General features: G+C 35.3%; 1 protein-coding gene across 4 annotated transcripts in view, besides 1 other annotated feature; it reads right to left on the bottom strand.

Annotated features, from left to right (window-relative positions):
* Window positions 1–12,141, bottom strand: part of AGFG1 (ArfGAP with FG repeats 1) — an 89,062-nt gene that overhangs the window by 19,123 nt on the left and 57,798 nt on the right. For 2 of the 4 annotated variants that reach the window (NM_004504.5, NM_001135188.2), the window contains exons 6-10: window positions 10,885–11,004; window positions 8,337–8,546; window positions 7,070–7,250; window positions 5,391–5,470; window positions 5,102–5,194 (exon numbers count right to left, since the gene is read on the bottom strand). In NM_004504.5, the coding sequence (NP_004495.2) occupies window positions 5,102–5,194; window positions 5,391–5,470; window positions 7,070–7,250; window positions 8,337–8,546; window positions 10,885–11,004 (684 nt within the window). Of the gene's footprint in view, window positions 1–5,101; window positions 5,195–5,390; window positions 5,471–7,069; window positions 7,251–8,336; window positions 8,547–9,885; window positions 9,958–10,884; window positions 11,005–12,141 lie in introns of all 4 variants that reach the window. The other 2 variants (NM_001135187.2, NM_001135189.2) reach the window with 2 other exon arrangements.
* Window positions 7,055–7,134: a silencer, noted in NCBI's record as "silent region_12400". NCBI's record gives its function as "represses an Ori minimal core promoter by ATAC-STARR-seq in GM12878 lymphoblastoid cells {active_cell/tissue: GM12878}" and the evidence as "EXISTENCE:reporter gene assay evidence [ECO:0000049][PMID:35858748]".

The following is a 12,141-nucleotide window of genomic DNA, read 5'->3' as shown; positions in this document are numbered from 1 at the left end:
ATGATTGTATATTTCGAAAACCCCCTCATCTCAGCCCAAAGTCTCAGGATACAAAATCAATGTGCAAAAATCACAAGTATTCCTATACACCAATAACAGACAGAGAGCCAAATCATGAGTGAACTCCCATTCACAATTGCTACAAAGAGAATAAAATACTTAGGAATCTAACTTACAAGGGATGTGAAGGACCTCTTCAAGGAGAACTACAAACCACTGCTCAATGAAATAAAAGAGGACACAAACAAATGGAAGAACATTCCATGCTCATGGATAGGAAGAATCAATATCGTGAAAATGGCCATACTGCCCAAGGTAATTTATAGATTCAATGCCATCCCCATCAAGCTACCAATGACTTTCTTCACAGAATTGGAAAAAACTACTTGAAAGTTCATATGGAACCAAAAAAGAGCCTGCATTGCCAAGACAATCCTAAGCAAAAAGAACAAAGTTGGAGACATCACGCTACCTGACTTTAAAACTATACTACAAGGCTACAGTAACCAAAACAGCATGGTACTGGTACCAAAACAAATATATAGACCAATGGAACAGAACAGAGCCCTCAGAAATAATACCACACATCTACAACCATCTGATATTTGACAAACCTGACAAAAACAAGAAATGGGAAAAGGATTCACTATTTAAGAAACGGTGCTGGGAAAACTGGCTAGCCACATGTAGAAAGCTGAAATTGGATCCCTTCCTTACACCTTGTACAAAAATTAATTCAAGATGGATTAAAGACTTAAGTGTTAGACCTAAAACCATAAAAACCCTAGAAGAATACCTAGGCAATACCATTCAGGACACAGGAATGGGCAAGGACTTCGTGACTAAAACACCAAAAGCAATGGCAACAAAAGCCAAAATAGACAAATGAGATCTAATTAAACCAAAGAGCTTCTGCACAGCAAAAGAAACCACCATCAGAGTGAACAGGCAACCTACAGAATGGGAGAAAATTTCTGCAATCTACCCATCTGACAAAGGGCTAATATCCAGAATCTACAAAGAACTTAAATTTACAAGAAAAAAAATCAAACAACCCTATCAAAAAGTGGGCGAAGGATATGAACAGACACTTCTCAAAAGACAACATTTATGCAGCCAACAGACACATGAAGAAATGCTCTTCATCACTGGCCATCAGAGAAATGCAAACCAAAACTACAATGAGATACTATCTCACACAAGTTAGAATGGTGATCATTAAAAAGTCAGGAAACAACAGATGCTGGAGAGGATGTGGAGAAACAGGAACACTTTTACACTGCTGGTGGGAGTGTAAACTAGTTCAACCATTGTGGAAGACAGTGTGGCGATTCCCCAGGGATCTAGAACTAGAAATACCATTTGACCCAACCATCCCATTACTGGGTATATACCCAAAGGATTATAAATCATGCTGCTATAAAGACACATGCACACGTACGTTTACTGCGGCACTATTCACGATAGCAAAGACGTGGAACCAACCCAAATGTCCATCAATGACAGACTGGATTAAGAAAATGTGGTACATATACACCATGGAATACTATGCAGCCATAAAAAAGGATGAGTTCATGTCCTTTGTAGGCACACGGATGAAGCTGGAAACCATCATTCTGAGCAAACTATCGCAAGGACAGAAAACCAAACACCACATGTTCTAACTCATAGGTGGGAACTGAACAATGAGAACACTTGGACACAAGGTGGGGAACATCACACACCGGCGCCTGTCTTGGGGTCGGGTAGAGTGGGGGAGGGATACCATTAGGAGACATACCTAATGTAAATGACGAGTTAATGGGTGCAGCACACCAACATGGTACATGTATACATATGTAACAAACCTGCATGTTATGCACATGTACTCTAGAACTTAAAGTAAAAAAAAAAAAAACTAAAGCCCCAAAGTTTTATAAATCCAGAAAAAATGATTATTTAAACATCATTTTAAGAATGATCCAAGTGCAGTCGCTCACACCTGTAATCCCAGCACTTTGGGAGGCCGAGGCAGGCAGATCATTTGAGGCCAGGAGTTCAAGACCAGTCTGGTCAACATGGCAAAACCCCATCTCTACTAAAAATACAAAAATTAGCCGGGTATGGTGGCACGCACCTGTAATCCCAGCTACTCAGGAGGCTGAGTCATGAGAATCGCTTGAATCCGGGAGGTAGAGGCTGCAGTGAGCAAAGATTAAGCCACTGCACTCCAGTCTGGGTGACAGAGTGAGAATCTGTCTAAAACAAACCAACAAACAAAAAGAGAAATATACTGATAAAACTTTCCGAATTTCACATAGAACTATTATGCAATAAGGGTACCTCCTTTTTTTTTTTTTTTTTTTTTTGTGAGCTAGAGTCTCACTCTGTCAGCTAGGCTGAAGTGTGGTGGCGCAATCACAGTTCACTGTAATTTCGACCTCCTAGGCTCAGGTAATCCTCCCACCTCAGCCTCCTGAGTAGCTAGGAAGGACTCCAGGTGTCTGCCACCATTTATTTTTTGTAGAAACGGGGTTCGCCATGTTGCCCAGGCTGCTCTCAAAACTCCTGGGCTTCAAGCAACCCACCTACCTCGGCATCCCAAAGTGCTAGGATCAAAGGGTACCTCAAAATATAATTTCACAGTGTTAACATGTGTTTTTTGTTTTTTTTGAGACAGAGTCTTGCTCTGTCGCCCAGGCTGGAGTCCAGTGGCATGATCTCAGCTCACTGCAAACTCCATTTCCCTGGTTCAAGCGATTCTCCTGCCTCAGCCTCCCAAGTAGCTGGGACTACAGGCACGTACCACCGCACCTGGCTAATTTTTGCATTTTTAGTAGAGACAGGGTCTTACCATGTTGGCCAGGCTGGTCTCAAACTCTTGGCCTCAGGTGATCCACCCGCCTTGGCCTCCCAAAGTGCTGGGATTACAGGCATGAGCCACTGTGCCTGGCCAGTGTTAATGTATTTGAAGGCAACAAAAAATTCTTAAATAATATTAACTTTGATGGTATAAAACACTGGAAATTCTTAAGCGTAGTGCATCTGTCGAAGTATTGTTTATATTTCAGCTTCAATAGAAACATATGCAGTTAATGCTTGTGATTTGGTCAATTCAATAATAATCTAATAAAGGTGACCAACGTGATAAATTCAAAATGACTTATAATGGAAAAAATGTATTACCTTGAAATAAACATTTGTGGACACTGTCGTTTTACCTTTCTAATAAATTTTTGTTACTTAATACTAGAATTATCTTATATCATCTGCACATACGTTGTACATTTTATATTATTTTATATCCTATGTAGAACTTCAACTTTTACAAAACTTGCATACTCTAAATAAAATAAGCAAAAAAAGGCCCTTAACTCTAATGATAGAACCAACTCAGAGGTACAATCATGAAAGGAAAATAATAGGTCTGATTTACTGAGCATATGCTGTAACGCAAAGACCATACAGGGTAAATGTGCATCATCTAATTTTACAACAAACCTGCCAGCAAGAGAATATTGTTCACATTCTATAGAGAGGGACAACATGAAGGCTCAGAGAAGTCAGGTCAACATGATTAGGCTCAGTCAAAACATAATTTGAGTTTCCATTCATCAGTTCTTAAGTGAAGTTATAATATCTATAAATATCTCAATAGCATCTTGTGAACAACTTTATCACAATAAATGTTTGAACATCCCCCTATCATTCTTACCCCATTCATTAAAAGAACAAAATTCAAAAGGCTTTCTTATGGTCAACCTGCAAGTAACTATAAATCAGAATTCGAACACAAGTTTGGCTGGCTGTACTCAAAATATGTTCAATTAACTTTTCTGGGCCTGTTCCCTCAGCTGTCACACAATTAAAATATTTATTTGATGACAGCTGAGTGGATTAAATGAGGCAATGTACAAAAACCCATTGTATCATGAGACATTTTACAAACTCAGTCCACAAAATCAAAACAGTATGCTAAGAAACAGAAACACTGCACATATCACACACCTGATAAATTGTACAAATGGAAATTTAAAACAATCATTCATTAGGTACACTTGAATTAAACTTTTTTTAAAGTTAAATTTTGTGTGAAATTCCAATACTTATCAAACATCTATTATGCTACTTACCAACAGAGTATAAGTGAAGACATTTATGTGAAAAGAAAATAGTTACAGCTCAAACTCCTAATACTGTGATTCTTAATCTTGTCAATGACAAAGAGATTTACTAAAAACTAGTAATTCTTAATGGTTTGATTAAAATGTTACAAGTACCTAATCTCTCAAGAGTTCATATCAACATTTGCTATAACTGGAGTTTAGGCTTTAGTTCTAAATTATTGTGACATATACACAAAAACAAAGCATACAAACTCTAGATTTAATGGATACCCAGCCATACCAAATGCACCTGCTGACATTCCAAGATACTGGCAAATATCTCTGGTGTTTAAGGTAATACGACAAAAATCAGAGGTATAACATGAGAAAGATGTGAATGGCTTACAGTATGAATCAAAAAATAAAATGGAGACAACAAAGAGAATTAAGGGAAAAAATTATCAAAAGAGAAAATATTCAGTATTATACCCACGACTGAATCAAGTTTCCACAACTTAAAAAATGTTAACACCTGAAAGAGATATTCACTAGAAAAAGACCTAATAATTAAGAATTCATGTAGTAAAGTCATCTGATGCAATCTCATAGGGAAAATAAAAACTTCTCATAAAATGGTTCCATTAAGACTGCATGAGTGACAACCAGTAATTCTGAAACCAGACCACCAAATACATCTAAATTGCTCTGTTCAAGTCCTATCTCTGTCATAAACGTTCTGTGGAGTCTCATCTCCATGTCTGGGCTTCCCTACCTGAAAAATGAAAGCTTTAACTGGAAAGGGCAGACACTAGATAATTTCTAAGGTCCCTCTCAACTGTTAAATTCCAGGATTTTATGAACTTTCAGCTAGAATTTGTCTTTATGGACAAACTCTTCTATCCATTGCCATTCACTTCACTAAGAAAGAGGCCCCATTTTCTGGTGTTCTTCACATGGTGTCTTTGTTGATAAATGTCTTCCCCAAAACTTACTGTTCCACTGTCTCTTTTTCTTACCTGTTGCTCCTCTGGCATTGGTCTGAAATGGGTTTGTAGAAGATGCCACAGAAGGACCAGCAGCAGCAACAAATGGATTTGTGGAAGGCGTAGCTTTAAAAAATTATAAAATACACTATAAAATCCTAATACATTTTGTATTTAAGATTTAAATTATTTCACTATATTTATCAAGACAGAAAACTCAAGGATTCTGATAACAAATCATTGCTTTGACTCCTAAGAAAATGCTACACAATATATATTTGGGTTCTTTGTAAAAACCAGTGTATATACCAGAAGCACATACCTCCAAATGGAGCAGGCACACTTGATGAAGCAGGCTGTGTCTGTGCAGAAGCAACCACTGGCACTGTTCCAAAAACATTGCTGAGAACAAATATTGAAAGAGTTCATTTTTTTTCTTAAAAAAAAAAGAAAGTAACGATTTACAGGGTAGCCATAAAATAATGAACATATCGTGTATCACAGCATCAGTATCAACACAAAGAAAATTAAGACATTTAAGTGTAAAGATGTAATAAAATAAACAATTGTTACTGCTTCATTAAGAATCATCATAAAAAAATAAAAAATACAAGTAAAACTGAATGTGTAGTGGGAAGGAATATGACTATTGTAACGACTAGTACAGTTTGGTGCCACTATCTTAATATTCATGTTAAAACACCAGCAAAAACCATTATTCTAAGCAAACTATATCACAAGGACAGAAAACCAAACACTGCATGTTTTCACTCATAGGTGTGAGTTGAACAACAAGAACAACACATGGACACAGGGTGGGAAACATCACACTTGGGGGCCTGTCGGGGGTGGGGGGCTGGGGGAGGGATAGCATTAGGAGAAATACCTAATGTAAATGATGAGTTGATGGGTGCAGCAAACCAACATGGCACATGTATACCTATGTAACAAACCTGCACGTTGTGCACATGTACCCTAGAACTTAAAGTATTAAAAAAAAATAAAAAGACACCAGCAAGTTTTACTTGCCATTGTTTTCACACCATCAATGCAAATATCAATTAATGAAAAGGTAAACAATCTCTCAGAATTATTATAAAGAAAGTTTTAACCTCACAGACCCCATGAAAGGGTCTCAGGTACCCCAAACATTCCATGGACCACAGTTTGTGAACCCCTGATGTACTGTAATGTAATATCAATAAATCATGTATTATATATAAAGTATGTTTCCAGACTTTATGTTTCCGGAAGTGTTACAATCCTAACATTTCTTTCTAGAAAAGATGCTAAAGGAAAATAAGCTACCAGGATAACTAAAGAAATTAGTAAATACAATCCACAGGATTGGAAAACAGAGATGAATAAAACATTGTTATAGGTAAATCTCTTGTATTTCTGAGACTATTTCCGCAACTCTAAAATAAAGACTAGAAAAGTTTTTTACAAGTGTAATGTCCTAAAATGTGTTAGACTTCCTACTGCCAAGAATTCTAACAGATATATATGAACATAACAGCAGATGTGCTTATTTGTAAATATGAGGATGACACTGAAGAGATACAGAATTGATTTTGGGCTTTGGTGCAAACACTTCTAAAAATCTGTATTTACAACTAAGCCTATAATATGGGACTTTCACTGTTTAATCATCATGACTAAAAACTATTTTTAAAGTATATTATTTGACTACTAAATGGATTCTCTGCTGAGTACAATCTGTAAGGAACTGTCCATTTTGAGATGTGTACATGCTCTCAAATACGGTTTAGTGTTCAAGGACAGAACATAACAAAACGTCTGATTCAATGAAAAGATAAAATTATGGCAATTATTCAAGGATTATATTTTAATTAGCATTTAAATTCAAATTCCTCAAATTTACAAAAATATCCAAGAATTTTAAAATTATACCTTGAAACAGTCATTTTTTAATTGATTATTCAAAGTTGGAAAAAAAAGATAAAACACAAAGCAGGAGGGCTAGCTAAGACAAGGTACCTGCTAGCATTACTTGTGGAAGTATACGCATTACTGGAGGTGGCTGCAGAACTGAAAACGCTGTCTAGTTCTGCCAGAGCTGCATACTTGTCTGAAGATGCACTTGACTGACTGGGAACTGAAACCACAGAACCAACAGGAGCTTTACCTGTGGTCCCAAAGCCACTTCCCTGATCACCACCTGGGAACGAACAAAATCAAGTTACACCAAAAATTTAAAGTTACACTTTCAACTTATCAACCACATTTGCCATGAAACACAGGTAAACTTAAAATGGATTTAGAGTTAAGCAGGATTCCAAATCATTAATCTAATAAATAACCTGGACCATACTGGACAGGATTAGTTGTTATACATACCACTGTGATAAAGACAGAATATGTCTCTTAACAAAAATTAACACTCTGTACCAAAAAAATTTGTCTGGATTATGCATAAGAAAGAAACTCTCAAGTGCTCTTACGTTAACATCTCCAAGACGGGTGGATCTTGTTCACATGAACATATAAATTCATATAATGCTAGACCTAATGTGAACAGTCTATCAATAGCATCATTTCCCCAGCATTCTCCACAAAAAAATTAGAGATGGTAATAACGGGAAACATTTATTGAGGACTTACTATGTGCTAGGCACTGTTCTATATGCCTTAACATGCAATAATACTTAGAACACAACTCCATGAGTTTAATGCTTAGAATTATCCTCATTTTGGAGAGGAGGAAAACAGGCCCAGAGATCAGAATGGAGAATTCCATTTAGCAACACACACCTGCTATTCACCAGTGCCACATGCATTTGTAGAGGCTACTAGCCTTAAGATAAAACTGGATACAAGACTATACTGTAAAATTCATGAATTTTTTTTTTTAAATATAAAAAACCCACCAAGATGTTAACGGAAAATTGTTCGAAGTAAATATATTACAGAAACCACCAAATAATCCTCCATTCAGCTCTGCCAATGGGGTTTCTTGGCTCTTTATAGCCAAAGAAAAGTAAAGCACGCCTTCTAGGACAAAATAAAATTTTTCTCAACTAGTAAGACTGAAAGTTTACAAATCAGTCCCTATGTCTTCAGTTTTGTAGTTGATATTTCAGGTCTAAAATGTGTCAAGTGAACATTTTACTCAAAATGACAGTGCAGACAAAATTTCTATACAACAACTGAGAAAAGTGTAGCATGTTCAGATTTTAATAAATACAACCAAATTAAGAGCACTGTTTAACACAAATTTGTATTTGTTTTGCTTAAAGCTTGATACCTTGCCCGGCACTGAAGATATTGTCTAAATTAGCAAGTGCTGCATATTTGTCTGCAGTCTGTAAACCAGCTTTGTTCGTTGAAACTTTACTAACAGCTGATGCTGTTTGATGACTCTGGGAAGTATTGAAGGTTCCAAAATCAGCACTGGAGGATTTGGGGAAGTTATCAAAATGAGCAAAATTAGCATTTACTGATGCAGCACTTCCACCTGTAACAGAATAAACAGAGCACTTGAAATTTCTAAGCTTTTCCTAGTACCCTCTCATAGACTGTATGATCATTTCTTCCTAAATTAAATGTCCTATAAGCAATCTTACAACATTAAAATCAATGACTGGCAATGGCTTTTGACTACAAGTGACGTTTTCCAATTTTGTAAAAGTAGATTTTTCAAAGGCCTTGGCAACAGGTAAAGTAACATGTTTCTGTGTATTACCTACCCTGGAATGAAGAATGTAATTCATGGAGGGGTATCTCCACACTACCTGGTTTGAGATTCAGTTACTTTCTAGTCCAAATATACTACAGCCTTTCACTAGTTCTCCCTGAACAGACTGCAAACAAGATGCAAAGTATCTTACTAGGAGGATTTCAAACTTTTGTGGCTCCATGACGAAACAGTTTAAACAATCCCAGGGGTAGCGATTAACAATGTGTAAAATGTGTTACGGTGATCCAAAATTCCTTAAAAGATGGTCGTTGACATTTATACTTACTTCACTTGAAGAGCTACTATTTAATTCCACATAATAGTTTAATGTGTATACAATATCAAGATGTCCACTGTAAAATCATGCCGTACCATATAGTTCAAGGCATTAAAATTACAGTACATAATACATTATAGCAATTTTTGACTTTATAAACCACAATTCACCTAATGGCCACTATTATATATATCCTGTTACATCTTTAAAATCTGTTCTCTATTATAGAGACCTCCTTAAAGTACTATCAAAAGACTAAAACCAGTATATTTCATTCTATGCTTTTGATCCTACATTTTTGGGATATTAGTTCTTTATTTCTAAACTTTAGTTTCAGAAATCAAAACAGTATATATACACAGTTATATATTAAAGTGATAGAAAAGACAACTACAGATAATTTTAAAACAGAATGCATGAACTTCTATTAAAAAAACACGAACACTTTCTATCAAGCAGGTTTTTATACATTCTAAAAAAAATATACACTGATCAAATTTCTTTCAAGAGTTAAATCATGGTGGTTTCAATTAAAGGTAAGTAATATATGTTTGTATGTAAAATATTGTGACCTGTTACAAGGAGCTGGCAAACAAAGTACATACTAAACTTTCAAAATTTATATAAAGAATATTATTTCAAATTATTATTAAACCAAGTAACTCTTTGATTGTCTACTATTGTGTTCTCTAACTCTGAGTTTAATAAATAGAGTTGGAAGAGATTTTTATGAAGGATTATCACTAAAGAATTATTAACAATCTATAACTGGAAAAACCCTTGAAGTATAGCAAAAATATACAAATTAGTATAAGATGCCTACTTGACAACAGAACTTACTGTGGGTAGCCTGAAGAGGAAAAGCTGAAGTAAATTCACCAAAACTGCAGCTAGATGAAAGCATTCTAAATGCTGGACAGCCAGAAATTATGTAAATGATGAAAGTTAAAGAAAAAACAAAAAAGAAAATTGAAAGAAAAGGCTTTAAGACAATACACAGAGTTAAAAGTTGAAAGAAAAGTAATCAGCCAAAAATCTAAATAAGGGTTCCATGAGTTTACGAAAACAGCACAATTTATGGAAAGAGTATTCAATGTTTAAACACCAATTCCTGCACAGAAAACTATTTCCAAGTTTGACTGAAGTGATCATTAATCTACTCTTGTCTAATAAACATATAAAAATTTTTCTCAGGCTTGTTGCCCCGAAAATTACTTACATTTTTAGCTCTACAGAAGCAACCAGCTTCCTTTATTAAGAGGTATAATGTCAGCCTAAATCAATGGATTCTATGAACCTTAAAAAACTTATAGTACTGGCTGGGCACAGTGGCTCACACCTGTAATCCCAGCACTGTGGGAGGTCAAGGCAGGAGGATAACTTGAGGCCAGGAGTTCAAGACCAGCCTGGGCAACATAGTGAGACCCAGCTGCTACCAAAAAAAAAAAAAAAATTTAGCTGGGAGTGGTGGCATGTGCCTGTATTCCATCCTGAGGCAGGAGGATTGCCAAAAAAAAAAAAAAAGAGACAGAGAGAGAGAAATACTTATAGTAGTGTCATGCCTCTGTCCTGTGTGCATGGTAGATATAAGGAAGATTCATGCGCAGGAAAAGGAGGAGAATGGATGTTGTCAAACAGACAATATACCAAATAATGCAGAAAAACAAATGAACATAGAAAAAAATAAAGAGTTCAGGTTTCCCCAGAGCTTTTGAAGATAGAACCATTTTAAAGTCAGATAATTACAGAATTTAAGTTTAGACTAATTTTTCAAAACTACATTTAGAGAGTTTTGTTTTGTAAAGTAAACATTTAAGCACAATGCTGGAGAAGCTCTACCTGTAGTTTGGGGCTGAAAAGGAGAGTGACTTGCTGTGGGGAAACCTCCAAAATTACTCGAACCACTAGACTGTCCAAATGCATCAAAGTTTGCAAAATCTGCATTTGCAGAATTCTGAGCTGTAAATGGTAAGGAACAACATATGTTAATGAATATGAAAACTATAAATGAAAATACATGACACATGAGTTTAAGAATTATATGAAAAGTTTCTATGTATCAAAACTCACTTTATAGAGAATTCACTTAGCAATCAGATTTTAAACCCTACCAGCATGTAACCCAATTACAGGTAATTTACTAAGGAGTAACCAAGAATTTCCAAAAACACTTTGTGCAATGATAAATTTGGACACAATACTCTGTATATGACCTCAAGCACAGTACTATAAAAGTGACTCTATTAACAAAGGAAACTATTTCAGAGTACTGAGTTACAGTACTGAGTTATAGGAAAGCAGACAAAGATGTAGAAAACATCCTGGAAAAATTCACTGATTAAAAATGGTAATCAACTATGTGAATCTGAATAATAACTGAAATACTTAAAATAATAATACAAAAATGGTTTAATTAATAGAGCTTTTTTTAAGTTTACAAATGTCTCACCATGGTCATATATAAAAATTTAAAAAAAGGACAAGATCACCAAATAAATTGAAGATATTCATATTCTATTAGAAGCCTGCAATTTTAAACTCATTAAAATTTAAGAAACAATGAATGCTAGCATAGAAATTATAGCATATAATTCAGAGCCCCAAACATTAATAGAATACCTATTAAATAGGCAAGACAGGACTTTGTAGTACTTGTATCCATTTTTACTTCTAGGTACTGATCTATTCACTATCTTCAACAATCGATTATAAGTGCTGCAGAATGAAACTTTGGAAAACACAACTTTGCAAATTCAACACTAATAAATTCAGTAATACAAAAATTACTGTCTGGACACTCAGGCAATCTCTGTACAAAGAAATCCAAGCTAAGCAGAATGTAACACAATGGTAAAGCTGTTTCTTGAATAATCGTATTTCAAAAAGTACAAAGGAGTCAACTTAGTGTGGAACTTAAGACCCCAAATTAATGAGCCTGAGTCTTGCTAATAGTTGTCATTCCTCTTCAAAGAAAAACACATATTCATGAGACAGGAAGATAGATCATAGGACGCAAACTAGCAGCCCTCAGCAAATTCATCTGACAGATATGCTTTGTTTCATCTGTATAGTATTTAACATTATTTCCCATGAATT

Source organism: Homo sapiens, chromosome 2 (genome assembly GCF_000001405.40).
Source record: "Homo sapiens chromosome 2, GRCh38.p14 Primary Assembly".
NCBI classification, from domain to species: domain Eukaryota; kingdom Metazoa; phylum Chordata; class Mammalia; order Primates; family Hominidae; genus Homo; species Homo sapiens.
This window is presented reverse-complemented; position numbering and strand designations above follow the sequence as displayed.